Source organism: Homo sapiens, chromosome 7 (assembly GCF_000001405.40).
Source record: "Homo sapiens chromosome 7, GRCh38.p14 Primary Assembly".
Taxonomy (NCBI): Eukaryota; Metazoa; Chordata; class Mammalia; order Primates; family Hominidae; genus Homo; species Homo sapiens.
In genome coordinates, this window is record NC_000007.14 from 36,849,892 (window position 1) to 36,874,710 (window position 24,819).

The 24,819-nt window shown below is 42.0% G+C and overlaps 1 protein-coding gene across 15 annotated transcripts in view, besides 2 other annotated features; it reads right to left on the reverse strand.

Annotated features, from left to right (window-relative positions):
• Positions 1–3,014: 3,014 nt before the first annotated feature.
• Positions 3,015–24,819, reverse strand: part of ELMO1 (engulfment and cell motility 1) — a 596,421-nt gene continuing 574,616 nt past the window's right edge. For 14 of the 15 annotated variants that reach the window (NR_038120.2, NM_001206480.2, XM_011515654.3 and 11 more), the window contains 3 exons: positions 20,502–20,584; positions 11,768–11,845; positions 3,015–5,860 (listed from right to left, as the gene is read on the reverse strand). Coding sequence is in view for 14 of the 15 variants with exons in the window: in NM_001206480.2 (NP_001193409.1) it covers positions 5,660–5,860; positions 11,768–11,845; positions 20,502–20,584 (362 nt within the window). In the remaining variant the exon portion in view is untranslated. Of the gene's footprint in view, positions 5,861–11,767; positions 11,846–20,501; positions 20,585–24,819 lie in introns of those variants that run through there. The other variant, XM_047421089.1, reaches the window with a different exon arrangement.
• Positions 4,797–5,298: an enhancer, noted in NCBI's record as "H3K27ac hESC enhancer chr7:36894293-36894794 (GRCh37/hg19 assembly coordinates)". NCBI's record gives its function as "activates a minimal SCP1, AML or CMV promoter by ChIP-STARR-seq in naive H9 embryonic stem cells {active_cell/tissue: H9 hESC(naive)}" and the evidence as "EXISTENCE:reporter gene assay evidence [ECO:0000049][PMID:30033119]".
• Positions 19,077–19,631: an enhancer, noted in NCBI's record as "NANOG hESC enhancer chr7:36908573-36909127 (GRCh37/hg19 assembly coordinates)". NCBI's record gives its function as "activates a minimal SCP1, AML or CMV promoter by ChIP-STARR-seq in naive H9 embryonic stem cells {active_cell/tissue: H9 hESC(naive)}" and the evidence as "EXISTENCE:reporter gene assay evidence [ECO:0000049][PMID:30033119]".

Genomic DNA, 24,819 nt, shown 5'->3' on the forward strand with positions numbered 1-24,819 from the left:
ACTTTGCATTTGCTGGTATTTCTTGCTCAACTCTGTATTTGCAATTATTGTGTGTCATTTTGTCTTAGGCACATATCTTGTAACCAGCATTTGTCCAGATTTTGCTTTTTCAGCCAGTCTGAGAAAGATTTGGTCTTACTTCTATTTTTGTATTTATATATTGAACTTTGAAAATACAGTTGACCCTTGATCAACACAGGTTTGAACTGTGCAAGTCCATTTTTATGTGGATTTCCTTCTGCCTCTATCACCCCGAGACAGCAAGACCAACCCCTCCTCTTCAGCCTACTCAATGTGAAGATGATGAGGATGAAGACCTTATTAGTGATCCACTTCAACTTAATATTAATAAATAGCAAATATATTTTCTCTTATGATTTTAATAGCATTCTTTTCTCTAGCTTTAAGAATACTGTATATGATACAAATAATATACAAAATATGTATTAATTGATTGTTTATATTATCAGTAAAGCTTCTGATCAAAGGTAGGCTATTAGTAGTTACGGTTTTGGGAAGTCAAAAGTTATACTTGGATTATTTGACTGTGCTGGCAGTTGATACCCCTAACTCCCATATTGTTCAAGGGCTAACTATATAGACTTCTATTTTGCTGTCTTTTGCAATGGTGATCAAGTTTCGTCTCTTCTACAGCACCCTGTATATAATCTCTGTTGGATTCCATTTGCTTCCAATAATTTGATTGACTGAATGATTGATATTCAGCCTTCTTTAAAAGTGAAGCATTTTTGACACATACTCAGCCTCCAGTCCCACCCTTCCACGACTCTTCTTTTGTGCTGCTGCCTGTGTGACAGTCGTGATCTTAAAATGCAAATCTGGTCATGCCATTTACCCAGGTAAAATATGTCAGTGGCTCTTGATCACATAAAGAATATATTTCCAACTTCTTGGCAAGACAGTCAAGATTCTTTACCTTTTTTCCCATCTTATCTTCTATTCTCTCTCCCATATTCCTCTCTGTTCTCCAGCCATGAAAGTTTCCTCTTTCTAATGCCTTAAGTGATTAGGGTATAATTATATTTTTATATGGGTTTATAGCATACACGCTACCTCCCCACTGGAATTTATCTTAAATTGTGGTTTTATTGCATTACCTCCAATCCTTAATTCAAGAAGTATATCAAAATTCTTAAATTTTCCACTCTTCCTTTCTCTTTCTCATTTTTCTTTACCGTAAAACAGACTGAATTGGTTGAAAAATGGTCCTTCATATCTACAGGTTCTGCATCCTCAGATTTAACCAACTGAGACTGAAAATATTTGGGGAAATAAACAATAAAAAACACAATACAAACTCTAAACTTTGAAAATGATAGAGTCTAAACCATTTGTATAGCACTGACATTGTATTAGGTATTATAAACAGTCTAGAGATGATATAAAATATACAGGAGGATGTGCATAGGTTATATGCAAATATGATGCCATTTTATATAAGGGACTTGAGCATCCTGGGTTTCGGTATCCAAAGGCTCCTGGAACCAATCCCCCATGGATCTGGAGGGATTGATCGCATATCTTCTAGTTTAAGCTATGCTAAAGATCCCACCCTCAAACCACCGTGGATGACAGAGGAAAGGAAGGAAAGGGAAGGGACGGGGAGGGCAGGGGATTTCCTTTTTGAGCACTGACAGTTTTCAGTCACCTCATGTATAATCCTCACAAGTAATAACATTTCCATTATATAAATGAGTAACAGGCACACAGTAAATGACTTGCCTCAAATTATCTTTCTGTTTGGAGAAGTCCACCAAATGCACACTATCTCATTATTTCATCTCATTATCATTTCCTAAACTCTTCTGTTCCTCCTCTCTTCCTGATTTTTGCTCACAGCCCTCTCTCTTACCTCTTCTAGGAGCTCAGGAGTCCTCTGCACTCTCTCTCTCTTACCCCCATGCTAATGAGGTCTCCGCTTCCAGCTCATTCTGCCTCTTTAATAACTTTACCCTCCTCCCCATTTCTATTACTACTACCAAAGTCTAAGCTCAAATAATGCTGGTTGGGATTATTTCAAAAATCTCCTTGCTAATATTTCTGCTTCCAGTTTTCTCCCACTTCAAGCTTGCCCCCACAAGGCTGTTTTGTATCTGTGATACTTCTGAATGGCAAATCTGACATCACACCTCTTAATGCACTCTCTTTTGCCCGCAAGTAAACGTCCTTGCCAACTCTGTCAGGATTTTCATGATCTGTGCTTTTCTTCCTCTGCAGTGTTATCACCCTTTGCTCTCTCATATGCATCCGGCACAGCAGCCACACTGAATGACCTACAGATTCCTGAGTCGTTCCAGATCAGCCGCCTCCATGCTTTGTTCACACTCTCTACTCTACTTAGGTTTCTCTCTTACATGGTGAACATCCCTTTTTCAAGATCTTACTCAAGTTTCTACTCCTCTCTTGCTTTCCCTTATACCATTTTGGAAAGTGTTGGTCACAACCTCCTTTCTACTATTCTACCTTGTACATATTTATATAATGCTATTTACCACACTGTGCTGCAACTTTTCGGTTTTATATTTGACTAAGTTGCTTGTCATTTCCCTGATTTGATGAATTTTGTTCTCATTTTTACAAATCTCAATTTTACAAATTTTGTTCTTGTTGAGTTCCTAGGGCCTATCTCTAAGCACACTTTTGATTATTGAATGGATATTTCATTTCCCCTTAAAATGAAAGGATTGTGTTAATTGTATTTTCATAACTAAAACAAAATGGATGACTGGTATGCATGTCATTGGGGACACCCATTGCTTTGTTCATTGTAAAAGCAGGTGGACAGGACATGCTGTAGGTGATAACTGAAGGATGGCTTAGAACGGACTTGCAAATAGACTCAAGAAACATTCAGCCTTGCACTTTTTCTTTTGCAATTACTATTAGCTTTCCCTGCCCTTAAATGTTGTCACAGAGGTTTCAGAGGCCAGTTAATTCTCCTTCCTCTTATGTGTTCTGAACAAGAATAAGAGAGGAATTTAAACATCAGCAGATTCAAATTAAGTAATCAGTTTTATTTTGAGTAATATGAATAGCAGAATGCAACTTGGACTTCACGACAACATCAGTCTTCCTACTTTACTTCTGCCTTGGATTTGGCTGAGTTGCCCAGGCTTAGGAAACTGCAGGCAACAGGAGATGAGTTGGAGGTGGTAGGCTCATTGCATGGGAAAAAAAGCCTTGGGCAGCCTGGAGAGAGAAGGTGAGGTGGCCAAATATGGGCAACAATCCTTCCCCACATGGTCACAAAATGAATGGAAACAGATGGCATACTCTTCAGATCTCACAGGTCCAAAGGAGGGTCTAGGGAGGAGCTGGAGAATGCTGCCTTTCATAGTCCTGAAAAGGTTTCTTTCTATTAAATGCACCAAAGCTGGAGTGCCAGAAGAGAGAGGGGCTGGATCTCCCCAACCAAGGTCACAGGACAGATACATTTCTTAAACCCAGTGTCTCAGGACCTCAGAGATCCTGGTCCAGAAAGTTCCCTTTTTCATGGATTGGATCTTGTAACCCATAAGAAAAAAATAATATGACTTTGTTTGCTGCCTTTGACCTAACACTTACTGTTTTATCATGATGATGGGTAGATTAATAACTGCTCCTGATAGCAAGTACATGTTAATAACATCGAAGCTTAATGATCAAGGAATTAACAGCTTGACACAGGTGTGAGTGCTCTGATGGGAAGAAGGAACCCCTGTGAATGCAAAGGACTTTTTTCCTGCAATGCATGCAGTGCTCTGGACCATATCATCTCAACCCAGGTCAATCTGTAATTGCACATCCTGATGACGGTAAAGAGAAATGACCTGGATGCTTCCACAGCTTGTGCTGTGAGGCCAGAGTGGCTGGTGCTGTGCCACGCTTAATACTGCATGCTTGGACCCTTCTGACATCCCTCCCAGTGCTGGGAGTTTACAATCCTGATAATGCCTCCAGTGCAAATGACTTAAGAAACATCCTTCGCTGGGCTCTGACCTATAATTTATTAACCCACGGTTAGATTTATTTAGTTCTGGCTTATTTCAGGTCTGTGGGTATGCATTCTTTTCATTGCTAAATGTGCTCCCTCAAAGTTGTGATGTCTTTAATTAGACCCATTCTATAAATTATATCATGGTAAGAAAGAAAAAAGAGAAAGTCATGGTCAAGAGACAGCAATGTAAAAGGAATAGATATTTTCATACAGTGGGTCTGATTTTCTCAGTGAGTCGAGATGGTCTTCTTAGAAGTAACATTCTCCACTGATGCTCAGAGCCTATGGTGACCTAGCAATGGTGGAGGGTTTCCCACAGCAGTGTTTTTCAAACCAATGTACATAAACATCACCCAATTCAGCAGGTCTAGGGTGGAGCTGAAGAGCTGGCATCTCCAACAAGCTCCCAGGTGATGCTGATGACTGAGTAGCAAGAACCTAAGTTACTAAATCAAAACACCAGCTCCCCAAATCATCACAATCCATTTTATTCCACAGCATGTTTAAGGGAATGTTATTTTCAGGAAGATGTTTGGGATTAAAATAATTAAAAAAAAACTGGAAATTCACACATTTATGTATCTCTTCTTTTCATTAAATATATATCTGTTTGGCAAAAAATGTTAGACTCTTTTGTACAAAAACAAAGCAAAAAAAAAAAAAAAAACTAACCCAAAACTCTTGCAAATTGTAAATACCAGTAATAATTACAATGATGTAAACTTGGATGTCTGACAGCTTGACCATCCTGTGGAACTTGAGTTGCAGCAGGACCTCCCAGGAGAAGGTAACACCAAACGCTTGGATAGCAACAGTCCGTCCTAGAGGCATTTAGGTTTAGTCTATTAGAGATGGAGCGAGACTACTGATTTCACCATTTGTGCTTTCAGCTAAGAGGCTGGGAGCGTGGGTGGAAATGAAGAAGGCAGTTCTGGCCTGGGGCAGGGAGAGGAAACCCCAGACTAGCTGGTGAGGAGGGAAGATTTGTCACGATCACAGTGCAGACGCAAAGTGGGCATGGGACCTGTGGACTGTTTGGGAAATTTATGCTAGGGAGGATCACGAGGAGGCTGCGGCTGCTGCTCTTGGGACCAAAGAGGAACAGAGCAAGGCAAAAGCAGGGAGAGAGGTGGGAGGAGATTTGAGCGCAGATCTTAATTCAAGTGTAACTGGTGGTGCGAGATGATTCTAGAGAGAGGGGAAAGGAGGATGTGGGGTTTGGTCTTCTCATCAAATAGCTAGGCCATTTCCTCCAGACAGGGGCCTTGGGGCACTGCCCTTGGTCTGGTGGGCAAGTTTTTGGGCAGTCTGGGGCTGCTGGCTTTCCTGCCCAAGGGAAGGAAGGGCATGCCTGCAGAGGGCTAGGATGGAAGGGCCCTTTGGCCTTCTTACTGGCAGTGGGCTTTGCTCTTGTCCCACCAGTGGACTGCAGCCATGGGAAGTGACCTGAAGCAGTGGAGCCGAGGAACAGAATCAGGGCGGTGAGCAAGATGCCAGCTAGGGGCTGAAAGTTGCCAGGGCTAGAGGTGATGCTGAAGGGAATGTGGACCCACAGCTTCCCTTTACCAAAGGACGGTTCCAAGGCGTGGGTGTGTTTTCATTCCTCTCTCCTGTTAGCTAGGTGTTCCAGTTTTGGAAGGGGCATGTCTGGGCCCGGCCACTTCAGTTACAGTCATAGACGAAGTCATAGTTGCTGGGCTCCTTGGGAATCGGCGGAGGTGCGTCAGGGATCTGGATGTTTTCCAGGTCCAGGAGGCGGAGCTTGATTTCCATGCTGAGCAGGGTGTCCAGGTCATTCCGCGTCAGGTCGCTCATCATGTCCTTCCCGAGTAGCGCATTCAGTCCATCCGTCCAGATACAGTACTGGCAGGAAGGGAGGCAACAGCGATCATTACTGGTGGCAATTACAGAAGTATTAATAGTAAAAATAGCTAACAGTGAATACTCATCCCTCAGTAGGCTGTGCGCTAAGGGCTCTGCCTACTTCGTCATTTCATATTTGGCGACATCTCAATATAAAGTCGATACTTCTGTTATCTCTGTTTTATAGGTGAAGGAACTGAGGTACAGAGAAGTGACTCAGTATTATGTAGACCGGGTGGGATTTGAACCCAGGCAATCTGACTCCAGTGCCTGTGCTCTTCTTTGCAAAGAATGCTTCTCTGTAACAGCTGAGGATTGGAGTTCTCCATGACTTGCAATGTAACACCTAGGTGGGAGTCTATGACTTTTAGGTACTGGTGGAATCTACCGAACAGCCCTGGACTCAACATCAGGTGAAGCAGGTTTCTTTGCTGACTCCAGTCATGGCTCCTAGTCTAGTAGCTCATCTCGGCCTGTCCTGTCTGATCCTAGCATTCACAATGACAGCCCTGTCCCACCCTGGAGCCAATGGCCAATGGCAGTCCCACCTTGGTGTTTCTCAGCTAAAGGGCTAGGAAATAGGCTTATGCTGCCCAGTGTCTGGCAGCCAAAATGGTTAAAATTATTGGGCAATCTTAATGGGAGGAGGGTTGGCTGCCTGTCTGGGGACCTCTTTAGCCTTTGTCTCTAGTTCCTAAGGTTTCTTTTCACCAGGTCTCTGGGGCCTCATACTTGGGGATATTATCTGTTTTGGAAAGCCCTTCACAGTACCCAACTAAGAGTCTGATTCTTCTCCTTTCATAGCCTTTTGTCTCTCCAGGAGACTATGATCTCTGTGAGGGAGAAGGAAGAACTGTGCCTTGTCTGAGGACCTGCTTTTCTCTTCTTAGCTTCCCCTCCCAGAGGCTGGAGTTCTGTACTGACATGGACAGAGAACCATGACACCTGGTGAAAGAGGCACCCCTGATGCCAGCATCTCAGAAAGCTGCTTGGCATTCTGGATGCTGGGCTCCACTCATGCACTGGAGTTTAGGTTTCTAGTAGTCCTATATAGGATTCTATAACAGCAATTGTTCTCCTCTTCTGTTGAAGTGGTCTTCCTTCTACCATGCACTCCAGATTCCCAACTTTTCTGCCTCACTAGTTCAAGCGGCAATTCCAGACCCTCTTTAACCTACTTTGGCACTGTGGTTATCTGGACTGTATTCCATGGTAGCAGATCTCAACGTAAAAGTAACCAAAGTATACTGCAAGCACTATATAAATCTCCAGTCACCATGATGTGATGGAAATCTTCCGTGATGCACATCAGCGGTCCTCCTTTTTAAGCTGAGGAGATGCACAATGGGTGTATTATGAGATCTGTGTTTCAGGAGGGCAGCATTGATTTGGAGGGCTTTGGTTCTACCTTGGCTATGTGATCTCAGCCAAAGCATTTAACCCATCGAAACATCAATTTAGTGTTAAGGGATTTCCGGAAGAATTAGTGTCCTCATGATCTGATTCTGAACATGTCTAACCATCAATTTCTTCATAAATAACCTTGACAGAAGTAGACACCTAGCTCCTACCTTGGAGATCCTGATCATGTAGATCTAGGGTGAGGAGACTTTGCTTCCTAGAAAACTCTAACGAACACGCAGGTACGGGTGCCACTGAACTCTACATTCTCAAAGGCCCCTTCCAGCTTTCATGCTGTTTCATGGTAAATCCCCAAGTCCTGGGGATTACTGTTCTTTTCACACAGCCTTCCCAGGCCTGGCTAGCTTCCTAGTATAGATTAGTTTAACCCACAGGAACACTTCTGCAGCACGTTTCTTTTTAGAAACAACAGGCACAGAAAATTTTATGTGAAAGTACATCGACCAATAAATAAAAACCCTGTAGTACTGATACTGAATTTGAGTTGGAACTATCAGTATCAATTCATTAGTTTATCTTAAAAGAAAACCACCTAGCTCTGTCCCCAAAAAGGGCTAAAAAATAATGACCAACCAAGAACCACTGCATCGTGGTGTGCAATGACCATAAACACAACTCATGCTTAGATTCTGGTCACTAAATATCATTTCCCACTACAAGTAATCAAGGCTTCACAGAGAAAAGGCAGGAAACATAAAGATAAACCTGGAACACTCCATCATACCAGAATGCCAGAAAGTTATCAAAGACGTAAGGGGTCCTCCCAATAGGACTCAGATGCCAACCCAATGGTGTTCCTACTTGTTCCAGACAGGATAACTTAGAAACTAATAACGACAGTAACTGCAACATATTGAGACACAATTCTGTTTAAAAGCATGATTTCCTACTCAACCCCTGCCCCCAAATGCCTCATTGTTCTTCTTTGAAAGATGCTTACTATTTTGAAAACTGGTAAAGAGAATCAAGTATTTATCCTGCCTACCATATGTAAATTGTATAACTTTAGGATAACCAAATAGTTGATGAGGCCAGTTTCTCTTTATATATCCCTTTAATAAAGAAGGAATAATAAAATTAGGATATCAACCTTTTGCAACCTCTAATGGTTCCAAGGATCCAGACAACGATCATTGTTGGCTGCTAATATCCAAGAAAGGGGAGCAAGAAGTCACCATGAAAGTACAAACACCACTGCTGCTGCTTAGAAAGGGAGCCTGAATTTGATTAATCCTTTAACTACAATTCACAAGACATACAGGGGACCGATGAATATATGAATTATATTGCAGATTGCGGTGGGAAAAATAATACCCGCCTTCCAAAGACACCCACATCCTACTCCCTGGATCCTGTGAATATGTCAGGTTCCATGGAAAAGGGACTTAAGGTTGCTATCCGCTGACCTTAAAACAGAGATTATCTTGGATTATCCAGGCAGGCCCAATGTAATCCCAAAGGTCCTTAAAAGTGAGAGAAGGAAACAGAAGAAGAGTCAGAGTCAGAGTCAGAGAAGTGAGAGGTAGAGGGAGATCTGAGTACGAAAGAGGAGGCTGAAGTGAGGTGATGAAAAGGTTCAACCAGCCATTGCAATGGATGGAGGCCAAGGAGTGCAGGTGGACTCTTGAGTGAAAAAGACAAGGGAAAATTCTTCCCTAGAGCCTCCAGAAAGGAACACAGCCCTGCTGATACCTTGATTTTAGCCCAGGATACTCACATTTGACTTCTGAAGTCCAGAATTCGAAGATAATAAATTTGTGTTCTTTAACACTAAGTTTGTGGCAGTTTGTTACAATAGCAACAGTAAGCTAATACATAAAGTTATAACCAGCACAGTCTAGACTATTAACATTACAGGTCTAATGACCTGTTTTTCCCAATAAATAAATTTCAAGGAAAAAAGGCACATGCTCATGATTGTGAGAGACAGAGAGAGAGAAAGAGAAACCTGTAGATTCAGAGAAACCTAGGAAACATGTCAACCAACTGCAATGCATGGATCTTATTTGCATTCTGACTTGAACAAAGTATGAAAGAAAAAAACACAAATGAGACAATTAGAGACATCTGAAAACTGACTGCACATGGTTTAATAAATAAATACCACATTATTAATTTATTTAAGTGTGATCAGGGTATTGCAGTTATGGTTTTAAATTGAGTCTTTATTGTTGGGAAATGCATACAGGAACATTTATACATAAAATGATATCCAGATTTGCTTCAAAATAATCAGGGGTGGCAGCTGGGTGATGGTGGAAGAGTGGATGGGAGCACAGGTGAACCAGATTGGCCATGAGTTGGTGATTGTAGAAACTGAGTGATGGGCCTGCCAGGAATGTGCGAGCTCAGTGTCTGCTCTTTCTCTTCCTAGCTCCACAGTGCAGGGGTTAAGTGTAGGGCTTCTGGAGCAAGACTGCCAGTGTTTAAATTCCAGCTCTGTCCTCTTACTACTTGTGTGACCCTGGACACGTTTCTTAAGCTCTCTTGCCTCATTTCCCTCTTTTAAATGGGGATTCTTTTAGAGTTATATGAGGGTTAACTGGGGTGAAATATACATATAAAGCATTAATGGTGCCTGGCAGAGAGTAAGCCAGGGTCGTTATACTTACAGTTGACCCTTGAACAACATGGGTTTTAACTGTGTGGGTCACTTATACATGGATTTTTTTCTTCAATAAAACTTATACCAAGTGTGCCTGTCTCTCCTGCTTCCCCTTCCACCTCTTCCACCTCTCTAGCCTCTGCCACCCCTGAGACCTCAAGACCAACCCGTCCTCTTCCTTCTCCCTCATCCTACTCAATGTGAAGACAATGAGGATGAAGACTTTTATGATGATCCTCTTCCACTTAATGAATAGTAAACATATTTTCTCTTCCTTATGACTTTCTTAACATTTTCTTTTCCCTAGCTTACCTTATTGGAAGAATACAGTATAAAATCCACATAACATACAAAATGTGTGTGAATCAACTGCTTATGCTATGGGGAAGGCTTCTTTCTGGTCAACAGTAGGCTACTGACAGTTAAGTTTTTGGGGAGTCAAAAGTTATGGGCAGATTTTCAACTGTGTGGGGGGTTTGGTGCCCATAACCCCCATGCTATTCAAGGGCCAACTGTGTTAACCTTTCTATTGTTGAGGTATTCAGTTCTGGGAGGTCTCTCCGTGCTCATTTGATAAATGAGAATGTCTGTAATAGAACTTTCTATTGTATGGAATAATTATGGAAATAAAATGAGGTAATAGAAGGAAAGTGGTCTGAAGTAATTAAAAGTGTTCACAAGCATATGGCATTTTTCTCTTCATTGTATCTATAAGAAGTGGCAGATATGAATAAAAATCTGGCAGTCCCAGAGCATTTATCCTGATCTGGAATTAATGTACACTGGGGAAAACAGCCTTGCAGAGATTTAAATAACATCCAAAGTTCTACTATTTTAAGTAGTTTTGTACACAGCTCTATACATCTTGAATATGGTGGCCTGTGTAGAACCACAATTTTATTTAAAAACAGAAACAGTAGAACACAGTATCTATTTTCAGAAAGATGAAGACAAAGTCTTACCCTTCAGCAAACTAAATGTCAAGTGACACAGAATTATATTTAAGCACCGTTCTAAATGCAGGATTTGTGTCTAATCTTTCCTCTCTCTTTGGGATATACAATTTTATTCAAAAGCTTCAAACCAGTGAAAACTAGATACTGAATAACTTCTAAATGAGCTAAATGTCCTAGGGGAAATGGGGAACAAAAGTCAGATTCTATTAAAATGTTCTCTTCCTTTCTAAAGCTGTTTATGCAACCACACGCAAAACAAAAATTTGAATGGTATCATCTAAAAATAAAAGTTTCAAGCATGATGTTGGGTTCCAGTTTATAAAAGAAAGTTAAATCAGCCATAACTGCTACTTTATCTTACAAATGCATTTTCCTAGATTTATGCTAAATATTTTAAATATAGCTGACAGCGTGCTACAAGAAGAGAAACAAATTATACATATAACAAGATGTCAGAAAGGAATAAAAGCATCTCGAAAATAAAATCCCAACAGCAGAGACAGCCCTAAACCTCTTAAAATAGCTTAAAGAAATTTGGTAGAAAACCTACTTCCTCAGATGTTTTAAAGAAGAGAGACCAGTTTATCTTGGGAAAATCCAGACCAAAAACGAAAAATTCAATGAAAACCAAAGCTGTAACCAGGGCCGCTTCTTTCTCTGGATTAACAAGTATACCTTTGCTGCATTTGAGGCCTTTTACATCCTTTTTCTTTACCATGAACTATCAATCAAGCTACTAAGAAGTTGAATCTGTTGCAACGGGCAGTTTGTCAAGAGGTTTCTATTCTCCTCCAAGTCAGCAAGATGCCCCTTGGTTCATCATTTTTTCAGGCAGGTCTATTTTTCTTAAGTAAAATTTCTTTCTATATTTTTCTTGAGAAAAGATAACATTATCTCATAAATTATCACCCCCGAGACCCTTACCTCATGCTTGTCAGGAGCGATGAAGTTCAGTTGGCAGTTTGAGTCATACAAGATGGAGAAAGCGAGTTCAAGCACCTCCTACAAGAGATGAGAGAAAACAGCACCTTAAGGAAAATCGGCACATTTCATTTTGCAGTTGCAAATGGCTGCACATTGACCATGGCATAGGGCCAGCTTGTCTAGCCAAGCGGAGCTGCAATGAGGCTGATGGAAGGAGGAACCATGCTCTTCAAGGTTCACGGCATGATTCCTTCTCTCCATTCACGGCGGTCTGTGAACTATCTCATTTAATTCGCATGCAGCCCATGTAGCAAGTGTTTTCATCTCCTTTATGAGGTGGGGCTTAGAGAGGCTCAATGAGTGTCCAAGGTGACAGCACCGCCTGCCTCCTCGCCCGCCACCAAAACTGTGTTATTCTCCTTTCTTCAGCATCTCCCTTCCAGAGAGGCCACAAAAACAAACAAACAAACAAACAAACAAAAACCCAGTAAACTCCCAATCAACAGGATTAAGGACTGCCCTTCCTTCTATCATCCTAAGAAAGACAGAGAGGCCCACAGAGGTATGAATTCCCTAAAATGTGGACGCTATGCCAGCTTTAAGGAGGCTGCTAGGTGAACCCATTATCTTTATATCTGTCCTTTGACCTTTAAGCTACTGTACAGCAAAGGCTACACAAAGCTTAGGTCTTACCCAGCAGAGACTGCAAGGTATAATCGAGAAGCACGGGCTTACTCATTGGTGAAAACCTACGGAGTGCACGCAATGAGCCAGGCCCAGAAGTCTAGGAACCAAGTGACATTTTTCATTTCATTGCAGGTGAATGACCAATGACCAAGGCACTCAGTGCCATGTCTAATATGTACATTAAGCCACACTTCTCAAACTGTACATGCTGTACCAATACTGGGTAAGACGATCATTCTAGTGGTCTGAGCGGTCAGCAGAAGATGAGAGTCATCAGCTCTTCTCAGCATCCTGAGGACTCCTAGTCTGGAAGAGAAGAGCCAAGTGTATCCAAACCAACGCTCTACACTGTTCCAGCATGGAGGTTCCAGTGTGCCTTCCTTCTCTGTGCTTCTATTAGGCACCAGTGATGACCATCCCTCTCCCCTCCTGTGATCTGTGAGCCACACTGCTCAGTAATTGCCCACAAAACATTCTTTCTTAGGGAGCCAATCTCTTCACATCATTCTCTACCTTAATATCTGTTAGAGGGTTTGTCTTTGGCCTGTGACTCACAGCAAAAATGCCCCAGAAAGATAAAAGGCAAAAAGATGAGGTCAGTGCCTACAGATTTCAGAATTTCAGACGGATTAAAGAATTATTCCAAAGTGGCTGCATCCCTGTCCTGACACAGTCCATCATCTAACTATTTCTGGCTCTCATGGAGTTCTCAGTGTCTGGTTCACCTCCAGCTGTCCCTCATTGAGAGGGGGCAGGTCTTGTTCTGAGGATAGATCTACCAGCGTCTCACACTCAAAAGGTCTCCTCACCTTGACAGAAATAGAAACAAGCGAAGGAAAGAATGCTGAGTCGTGGAATGGGAGCTATTCTGCAAAAATGCTCTCCTCATTTTCTATTCTTCTTTAGGCCCTGACTCAGGCCTACCCAGTAAAGACAATAATGTAAAAAGGAAGGGCGCCGAAACAAGCAAACAAACAAAAACAATTTGCCATTAAGTATAGCATCTGTTCCCATAACCATCTCTCTTGGGCCTTTTAATTTACAATTAAAATAGTCACAGACTTACTATTAGTACTATAAATTCATATCATTCTTTTTAAAAAAAAATCAATATGAAAATACATATCAAGAACCAGAGATGCTATGCCTGAGATAATTTCAAAAGAAAAATTCAAAAGAAAGCAAAAGCCAAATATTATTATCTGAAAGAACATTATGAGAAACTAACCTCTCCCTCTTTTGGGTAATAAAGAAATCATAAATTAGCCACCAAGGGAAATGTATTTGGCCATTCAGTAAGATAATTATAGGGAGCCAAAGTTAAGTGGAGAAAAGCACGAGACATGAACACCATGTACACACTGATCACAATTATGAACAATTCCTACTTGTGGACAGAGACTGGAAAGAAATATGGGAAATGAAAATAATTATGGTAAGGTGATAGGTCATAGGTCATTATCTCTTCTTACAACTTTTTTTTCAACAAAATGCTAAGCTATAATTTCAAAAATTCATACAAATTGTACTCAGATTTGGCATGTTCATTAAAATGATGATTTCTTTACTAATCTTAGAGTCATTTATTAGGAAAACTCTCTGACTCATGCTTGAGAGATTGAAGAAAGAAAAAGGAGGGAGTGAGCTTTGCTTCTGAACAACCAGTCAGGATATTACAGTGGCGTGAGGGGGCCCTTGGAGGTAAACAGGAAAAGGTAAAGTTCATCCAGGCCCCTTTGGGCTGACCCTGGGTGACAAGTGCCTGACTGCTCAGGGAAATCACGTGGCTGATCACCCCTTGCTGACAAGAGCCGGTGTGAACAGCACTGCAGCCCAGATGTGCTCCGGACAGGGTGCTGAAGTCACTTGAGACCACAGTGTCAGCGTGGTTATTGCTGTGATACTTTCTCTTCTGCAGGGGGATGGAGAAGGAAGGAAAAGGAGCAGGCAAACTTTCAGCTTTGCCCTTCTATGACATATACCACTCACGACATGAATGATCAGAACTGTCATGACCTAGATTCCTGATAAACACAGGCAGGAAATGGGAAATTCGTGAGAATGTCAATTCCCACTTTAATTTCACCAAAGCTGCCTGGGAGGGGGTGGGAGGAATTAATTCTCTGAGCTGCATGTCTGTGTTAAAGGGTGTTATCGCTTGTAATGGGTTTTATTGATGTCTCTGGCTTGCTGTTGTTGAGTCATTGGTGAAGGTCAGCTCTTCAGCACTTGGAGCGGGGAGGCTGCAGAGCCAGGAGCAATAGCACCTCTCAGGCTAATACTCCAGAAACTGCCACCTGTCCACACTGTCCATGAGGGAGAAGGCGCCAGGTGGTGGTGGAGTAGACTGTCACTGATCTGTGCCCCCCTCAGGGCCTACTTGCCTCCACACACCACAACACTCACTTAGACATCGAATGTTCAGGGGCTTTGTTGCTCATGACCGAAGCTCTTTTATTCCTCTGGATTTAGTGCAGTGAAAAATTACATCTAGAAGCAGCTTCTCTCCATTCTCTGCTGCACTGATGCCTGCTTGCCACCTTGTCATGTGGAGGAAGCCTGAGTCCTAGGGAGAGTGGAGGCAGAGGAAAGTGAACATCCTTCCATGCCCTGAGGCCCCTGACCTTTGTATTCAACACTCTGGCCCTGGGACAGAAGACAAGGCACGCTGTGTCAGCAGATGCTCAGGAAAATGGTTCCTGGGTTTGGGGACTGCCATCTTCCATGGGTCAAATGAGGAACCGACTGATAACAAGAGTAGAGTTGTATGCAACATATTTTCAGTGTGCAGTGTTGGCTGCCAATCCTTACATTGTTTGACGGTAACTCACCACATATGGCCATTTTGCTAGCATTCACTTAACTATGTTGGTTCTCTATCTATCCAGGTCATCATGAGGGTAAAACCTTTTGATAAAAGACACAGGATATAACTCGGCATGTGTGTGGGTGTTAAATTATGGTCACAGAAATAGCAGTAGATTTCAGAACTATAGCTTATTGCTGTCCAGATATCTAAGAATTTGAGTTTCTATTTTAGAAGGCAAAAAACACTCATTCATGTAGTACATAACAGAGATTACCTTCTTCAGGCAGTTACAACTCTCCAGCCCCAATCTATCTTAGCAGCGTAACCGGCCAATAGTTCTCCAATCCATATTCTTCTCCCCATCCCCATCCATCCTATACTCTGAATTCAACATTCCCAATTAGAGGATGCTTTTCACATGAGCAAAGGCCCTTGTGCCTTTTCAGACTTTTTCCTCCTTTTGGAAAGTCTTCTCCTCATTCTCTGCCTGGCCAATTCCTTTTCAAAAGCTAGATCAGATGCCATGTCCTGCATCACCTTTCTCAACTCTCCCAGGCTCCATGTTTAATTTTTTTTGGCATAGACATATTGAATTGTAATTGCATATTTAAATATAAATGTTATCTACTGGACACCTAGGGCCAGGGGCCAGGTCATATTTATCTTTGGATTCCTGGCACCTAGGACAAAGGAGATGCTCAATACATTGCTGAATGAATGAATGAATGGATGATGAATGAAGTAAATGTGAATAAAGGACTTTTTGGCTAAGACCAGGGTTTTCAAACTGATGCTAGAACATCAGCTTCAGTAGAATATGCTTCCTATTTCAGGTTTAAGCATCACACTGGAAAAACAAATGCTTAATTCTGGCAAATGGGAAGATGGAAGCTTCTCATACACCAAATATACTCCTATCTGAATCAATGGATCTTCACTCTGGTGATTTCATGTTGACTGTTGACCTAAAAGCCCCAAATTCAGTGAGACAAGCACCAAGAATGCCCACCTTAAAGCACACAGCCACAAATCAGCTTATTTTTATAAATTATAGAGTTTGAATTTAGAATCCTTAATCCTTGCAAATCAAAACCTTCCAACTGAATTTCCATCTACTCATGGCAATTCTTTTCAAGTCTCAATGAGAAACTTTCTGATCCCTGTGTGAAGAACCCACCATTTCTTGTCTCCGTAAAAATGTGCCTGCTGCACTGAACTCTGTTAAACATAACAGACTCTAAGCTCCAGAAAGACAGGACCCCAGCTACCCCATTTAGTCCTGTGCTATTTCAGGCACTCCCATGCTGACTGAGTGGATGACTGACTACATGAACAAATGCCTCTGCAATAGACACCTCAAGGGAAAGGACCAATTTTCTTCTTTCTGTTCTCAGGGCCCTGCTGGGAACATCAGCAGAGACCGAATGGGTGAGAGGATGATCAGTTATCAACACTCTGCCATTAACAAAGTATCTCTTTTACAGATGCCAATGTCTCAGTTTGCCTTGCTCGGTGATTAAGTTAACCATGGGTCTCATGGCACAAAATGTCAAAAGCTGTTCCACAGCTGGAAAAACTGTCCAAAGAGCCAGCAATTTGCCTTGGTTGTCATCCATCCACTGTGTACTGACAGACCTCTTATGAACACATTCTGGTCAATTCTCCTTTTAGGCTGCAGGTCCCCTTTTCCTACCCAGAAGTCCCAGAGGTAGACAGGAGGGCACCTCTGGAGTACGGGGAAAGGGGTGTGGGTTGGGGGGTTCAGCAGGTAAAATCGTGGCTTTCCTTCTGCCTTTTGATGTTTTGCTTGATGACATGGTATATATGAACACTAGTAACATTGCAAGACAAGTAAATTCCATGTATATGCTAATTAAAGGGCCAGGCTGCTTGAAATTCTGCTAGTCTTATCCCTCATGGCAGACTGGAAGAGCCCAGGGTAGCTAGAAATACGGGCCAGTGAGTCCCAGGAAGTAGCCTCTATTTGCAGTCTTATCTGTTTACAGTGGCGTACTCCATCCATCCATCATTCTCCAGCTGTCCATCCATCATCCATCTATCCATCATCATCCATCCTATGTTTTATGAGTGTCATGACAATATGTGAAAAATAAAGGTTGCAAAACATCATTTACTCGGTTTTACTTTTTTAGTCTCCTTTAAGGAGAGAGGAGTCTGATACAAGGCCAAATATACTACCTCACATGTTCAAATGAAATCATCTCCACATCTGTTATATGGGTGACTCTCATTTTTTTCTTGGTTAGCCAGGCTAGAAGTTTATCAATTTTATTCATCTTTTCAAAGTACCAGCTTTTGGTTTTGTTGATTTTCTCTACTGATTTCAGTTTCATTGATTTCTACTCTAAATTTTATATTTCTTTTCTTCTGCTTGCTTTAAGCTTAAATTGCTCTCCTTCCTTAGTGTCCTGAGGTGGAAGCTTTATTGATTTTCGTTCTTTCTTCTTTTCTAATGTAGTCATTCAATGCTATAAATTTCCCTCTAAGCACTGCCTTCACTGCATCCCACACATTTTGGTAAGCTGGATTTTCATTTTATTTAGTTTGAAACATTTTGTAATTTCTCTTGGGAATTCTTCCTGGAACTGTGGGTTATTTACAAGTGTGTTGTTAAATTTCCAAACATTTGGGGGATTTTCCAGCTGTCTTTCTGCTGCTGATTTCTAGTTTAATTCCATTGTGATTTGAGAACATACTTTGTCTAACTGCTATTCTTTAAATTTTTTAAGACATGCTTTACGGTCCAAAATGTGGTCTATCTTGGTGAATGTTTCCTTTGAGCTTGTGAAGGATGTGTATTCTGCCGTTGCTGAGTGGATTAGTCTATTAATGTCAATTAGATCAAGCTGATTTATGGTGCTGTTCAGGTCATCAATATTCTTGATCTTCTGCCTGCTTGGTCTACTGATTACTGACCAAGGGAAGTTGAAGTCTCCAATATATTAATAATAATGAATTTGTTTATTTCTCCTTTCTGTTCTATCAGTTTCATAACTCATGGATTTTGATATCTTCATGTTAAGTTCAGACATGTTAAGGATTATTATGTCTTCTTGGACATCTGACTTTCCACATTCCACGGTGATGGTTTGCCTGCAACCTCAGTTCTAGGATAGGTCCAAGAAAACTTGTTGATTTCCGCTTTGTTCTGCTTCTTCTTCTTCTTCTTCTTCTTTTTTTTTTTTTTGAGACAGAGTTTCACTCTTGTTGCTCAGGCTGGAGTGCAGTGACATGATCTCGGCTCATCGCAACCTCCACCTCCTGGGTTCAAGTGATTCTCCTGCCTCAGCCTCCCAAGCAGCTGGGACTACAGGTGCCTGCCACCAGGCCTGGCTAATTTTTTGTATTTTTAGTACAGACGAGGTTTCACTATGTTGGCCAGGCTGCTGGTCTCGAACTCCTGACCTTGTGATCCGCCCGCCTTGGCCTTCCAAAGTGCTGGGATTACAGGCGCGAGCCACCACACCCTGCCCGCTTCTCCTTATTCTGAGGATGGGAGCACAACTCTCAAGCTCTTTATATGTTGGGGCTGAAACAGGAAGTCCCTCCACACCTATTTTACATAATTCCCTCTATCTTTATTTAGCACACTTGAATTCTGGCAGGTTGCTATTTTTCCAGGTACACCCTTCCTGGTCTTCTCTGGGTTGCAGACTCCCAGACCCCTATTATTGCCAATTTCTCCACACTGTTTCCAGCTCAGCCCCAAGTGTTACGTAACTGTGGGGACCTCCTCGGCTGAAGCTGAGCAGAGCCCGTGCTCTCCGAGATTGTGGAGAGAATACCTGACATGTGCAGCATATGGTAATCCCGGCTAGTGTTGAAGAAAGTCTGCTCCACAGGAGGCAAACCATGAAAACTGGAGATTTGCTGCTATAGCTAAGGATGCTTCTCTAATCTGCTGAGCTATAGAATCTCTGTCTCCCCATAGCATGGAGAAGAGATAAACGGAAACCCCCGTTGGTGCTGTGTAACAGATAGACCACAGATCCTGGCCTCTTGGGCATGCCCTGCCATCAGTATGCTTGCCAATCAAATGCATTACATGACAATGCTGTGATGGGCTCAACAAAGGAGTTCCCATGGAGCTGAGGTGAGTTATAGAACTTAAGAAGGAAAGATCTTACAATCAGCCTCTTCAGCTGCATCCCCTGCCCTCTGCCTTCCTGAACAGTATTTTCATAGTACTTTTGTTTTTCCTTAACTATAGATAGGGCCATCCTGCAAAGAACTGGATTCCCTGTCTTATAACAATAGAAATTACACAGTGGAAACTATTTATTTTAACGCTGATTGGTAAATAGATTGTGTATCATTTTGGTGTCCCTCTTAGATACTGACACTGGAAATAAAGATGCAACCTATTGATCTATGTGACATTTTTGGTACCAGATTTTCTGGGTGCTCCAGATAATCTGGATACTTTTGTTCATGAATGGTATAGATCACAAGATTCTAAGAGGCATAAACAAAGCACTGGCTCCCTGACGGCCTCTCCAAGGGCAAATACTTCCAGCGGGCAAAAGAAATTCTTCTGTCTTTTCAAATAATATTCCCTCCTGTGCCCTCTGTAATGGAATGATAATGGAATGGTTGGTAAACTAGGAGGGGATGGTGAAAGGTATTGCAGGGCTTAAGTAATACACACTTCTGGGAAAATTTTCTCCTTTAGTCTGAGTTGGAGATATTTCACAGCCTACTTTCCACAATGCTGAAGGGTATCAGGCCTTTAAAGTTTTCTAAGATTCTTTGAGTCAGCTGCTCTCTGCCTGTCCCAGGCTTCGCTGAGATCCCGGGGAGGATATTAAGAGCATGATTACAGCAGAAGACAATGAAAGATATTGGGGTGGAAGTTGGAGAAGGGAGAAATAAACATAAATGGGGGAGGTTAGGAGAGGCCCAGGGAATGGACGGATGAGCAGAGCGGGCTCAAGAGAGGACAAAGTGACAATAGTGAGGGCAATTCTTAGGGTTGGAAGTAGGCAGGAAGTGAGAGAATGGAAAAGATGGTGAGCATCAGAAAAGGGGTCAGAAAGAGAAAGAATAAGGGTAAGAGACGTAAAAGGAATCGGGACAGGAAACAGGAGAGCTGAATAAGAGATGTGTGTCTGAACACACGCACACACACGAACACTGCTATAAAGGAGGGCTAGGCTGGCTGCAGTTGCCGACCGCACTGGGCAAATAGAGCTATTTGCAATAATTTGGAAATCATACCTTGTTTTGTTTAAGGGCACCTTTCTCTTTCATATGAGGGCAGTCCTTTCCCGTCACCACGGCTTTGATATCTGCCACCGGCACTGCAATTCATAAAAGAAAATGCAAGTAACTACACCATGTGAAAACTTTGATGTCAATAAAGAAACAGGACTAAGCACTGGGTCCGCTACTGTGGTTACCATTCCCAGAAACTACTGCAAAAAGAAGAGTGTTGAAAAGAGGAAGAGAAGCCAGGTAGTGTCCCAGGATTAGAAACTAAAATATATCTTATATTCTGGGAAAAAGCATCCCTGGAGAGAAAGAGCTTGCTTGTAAGCAGAATTTGGTTCAGTGAAACAAAGACCTAAAAAAACACCCATCATAGTACTGTTTGAAGTCATGGCATTAGAAGCAGCAGTAGAAATAACAGTGATTGTAATAACAACAGTGATACTCATACTGATATTACAGAGGGCTCCTGTGTGACAAGAGCAATGCCAAGTGCTTTACATATATCAGTGTCTCTTGTTACAGCATTTGCATCTATTTAGTTTCTGAGTTTTTGGATGAGAGAAAGCAGCCCTATCTCAAAAAATTTATCCAACTCTAAACAGTTCTGAACTCTCACTCTCCAAAATCTCTTTCTCTGCCATCTCATTAATTCTATAAAGCAGGTTTTATTATCCCTGTTTTACAGACAACAAAACTAAACTCAATTAAATAAAGGGAGAATTCCTTTCTGATACAGGATTCTGGAAATAATGCAGTTAGACAAAATGATGTTATCTCATGTCTTACTCTGGAGTTGGCGGAAGATAAGAAAAGATATGGAAGGGTTTGTGCACTTAAAACTTTTGATAAGATCAGGTGAAAGAGGCTGGGAACAGTGAGTGGCTCATGCCTGTAATTCTAGCACTTTGAGGGGCTGAGGCAGGAGGACTGCTTAAGGCCAGGCCTTTGAAACCAGCCTGGGCAACATAGGGAGACCCTGTCTCTACAAACAATGAAATGAAAATAAAAAATTAAAAACAAAAAGATCAACTGAAAGAAAGAAGGCAATAGGATGGTTTGGAACCTTAATTTAAAATAATGCAAAGTCATCTGCCCCTCTCCAATCCCTAACCCTCCAGCCCCATATGGGTTTATGAATCAAGGTATGCACGCTGGCTAGTGTGGCTTTACCAAGAATTTGGGATGTGTGAGAATGCCAAGTAATCAATTCCTTAGACTCTCTTAATGATGAAGATGATGAGAGATTTCACAGTTAAAGCTCACATCCTTTCATTGGGAAATTGGGTTGTGAAGGTGACAGATAAGGATAAAATTACAGAATACCTAGAATACTAAAACAATAGACAGGAAGGCCTCAAAAGCTAACATTTTCCAGGTACCCTAAAATTACTAAGAACTTGGTCCATATCTGTTGACACTCCTAGAATATTAAAACAATACACAAGAAGGCCTCAAATGCTAACATTTTCCAGGTACCCTAAAATTACTAACAACTTTGTCCATATCTGTTGACACTCTTAGGCCTCTCTGTAACCCTAAGAGTGGGGTTGTGATGAGTCTTCCAGGAATCTCTGTAGGTTCCCCTGCCATATCTCACCACATCTTGCAACCTGATTCTGGACCCTTCTGGTAGACATTACTTGTAGTTATGAATAGCTGTCTCTCCTTCCTTCTGGCCACAGAAAACTACACTTCCCAGCAACCTTTGCAGTCAGGTCATGTGATTAATTTTAGCCAATGAAATGTGAAAGAAAATGCTTCTTTTCTAGGTGGAGGCCCTCCATTCTGTCTTCCCCTGCTGCAGAAACTGAAGGAGTGACCTGTTCCATCCAGATGTCACAGGAGAGGCCCAGGGAATGGATGGATGGGCAGAGGAGGCTCAGGGAGGACAAGGTGACGATAGTCAGAGGGCAATTCCTAGGGTTGGAAATAAACAGAAAGTGAGAGGATGGAAGACATGGTGCACACTGGTCTGTGTTCCTGAATGACTATATGGAGCAGCCCTTTGCCAACCTGTGTATGTTGTATAACGTGAGTGAGAAATAACCTTTTGTTATGCAAGCCATGGAGATTTTGGGGTTGTTTATCCCTGCAGCACAAGGTAGCATTACAGCCCCTCCTGACTGATCTCAGACCCCTTTTCTGCCTCTTTGCCTGACCCCCTTGGGGTTGGCATCTTCCTGTGGGTGGTCCCTATGATTCCTGAACCTACCTTTGACCATGAACACTGACTTCAGTTCTCCTCAAATCCCTTTTCATAACCAAGAACTGGCCTCCTTTCCCTCAGTAGCTGATCTGGCTGCCTAATCCCTACCGTAGGAAGGGACATTTGGATACTCTGGGAAGTTGGCTGACTTTCCAATGGAAAACCCACCATTGAAGTGAATGTGATATAGTCAACAAACTCATTCTAAAAAACGTTCTCAAGATTCAAATAGAGTTTGAGTCACAAGTGTCTTGTAGAAAGTTTTTTTGTTATAATATATAGCATGGTCCATGAACTAGAGACAGTGTCCACAAGCTACAATTGGTAAGTTAGCCCTTAGCTTTGAAAACCCATTGTATGGAATGGGACAAGAGTAATACCATAGTCTGTCCTGGGGGGTGGTCTTCAGAATCTCTAATAGAAAGGCTTCCAAGGAGAAGCGTCACTTTTTCACTAGGTTTTGTGGAAGTACATATATATTTTTTTATATGCATTGTCCCTTGTCCTAGAGACCAGCTGCTACATCATTCATAGGATTATGACTAAAAGGAAAACACAAAGTTCTAAAAATACAGTGTAGCTTTTAAAGGTTGCTTTTTGCATAGTTTGTCTTCTAGATGCACCAGAAGATTAGGCATTAGAAAGGCTCAAATGATGGCCTCTCTATTCTCATGAGCAGAAACAGAGGGGTCAGACTCATATCTCCAGAATCTACACTCTAAGGAGGCTGCAGGGGGCTCTTGATGACTTCAAAGCCAGGCTAGCATTTTGATGAGGCCTTTTGTGTGGAAGCAAGATAAAGAAGTGGGCTCCAGATCTGTGAGAATCAGGGTCACCAGTGAAGAACGCACCCTCCCACCACATTTACCCCCTGGGGCATGGCCTCATTTCTTTCAATGCTTTTTACAGTTTGAGCTGGGTTGAGACCATCTTAATTCAACACTCCTATTTTACAGATGGGAAGACTGATCCTAAAGGGAGGAAATCAATTATGCAATGATACACAGCTAGGTTAGTAGGTGAAAAGAGCTGGGTTTAGTGCTTCTTCTTCCACTGCATGTTCCCCTGCTAGGCCATGATTTCTCCCTTTGTAAGGGGCCAGCCCCCCAAATCATGCTGAGCACAGCCCCAAATGTGGTTATCACTTCGGACATTCAGGAAACTCTTTGAATGCTAATACCTGTGGAAGGAAGTTTAATTGTGATTTAAAACAAAAATACTACTGAAAAAGCAAATGTGGCCACCCATGATTAAAATAGTTTCAGCTTTCATCAGTGAGATCCAAGTTCAGGCAGAAACCATTCAAAGGAAGTAGCTAGTAAGCCTTGAGCTCTTGCTGTGTGCACAGCTCCATAGTAGAAGCTCCTGTGGGCAGAAATATGAGGAGGTACAGGCTCATCCCAGGATAGCTGCATGAAGAACCTGGTCTCTGTGGCCTAGCAGATCAGCCACATGGCATGGAATGGTGGGGAAAAGATGCGCCTTTGGAATCAGAGTGCCAGGGTTTGAATTCTACATCCACCAACCGCCTCTACTACTTTGGGCTTAAGTTTTGAGAGCCTCAACTTCCTTGTCTGCAATTTGTAACTCTAACATTATCTATCCCATATGGTTGCTCTGAGAGTTAAATCCTGATGCTGGAGCTGAGATCATTGTTGGCTTTTAATCTAGGCAGTACACAGTAGTGGGTGAAAATCTAGGCCATGGAGTTAGACAGTTACATTCAGATCTTTCTCTACTATTTACTAATCTTATGACTTTGAATAAGTTACTTAATCTTTCTGTATCTCAGTTTCCTTTCTGTAAAATAAGGACAATATTATCTACCTCTTTAGGTTGTTGAGAATAATTTATGTAAAGCCCTTAGCACAGGGCCTAGCATATAGTAAGCACTCAATAAATGCCATTTGCAATTATTCCCATTATCAATAATCAGAGTTAATTCTGTAGATGGAGAGACCTGAATTATTCGCTGTGCTTTGGTGACCCAAATTGCCCACAGTGCCTCCCTGTGTCGCCGCTCTTCGCATCCACTGGAGCAGGCTTCATCTCCACATGGGCAGGGTGAGCCAGAACTTTCCTCCCTGCCCCCTCTGATGTGGGAGTGAGGAATGCTGG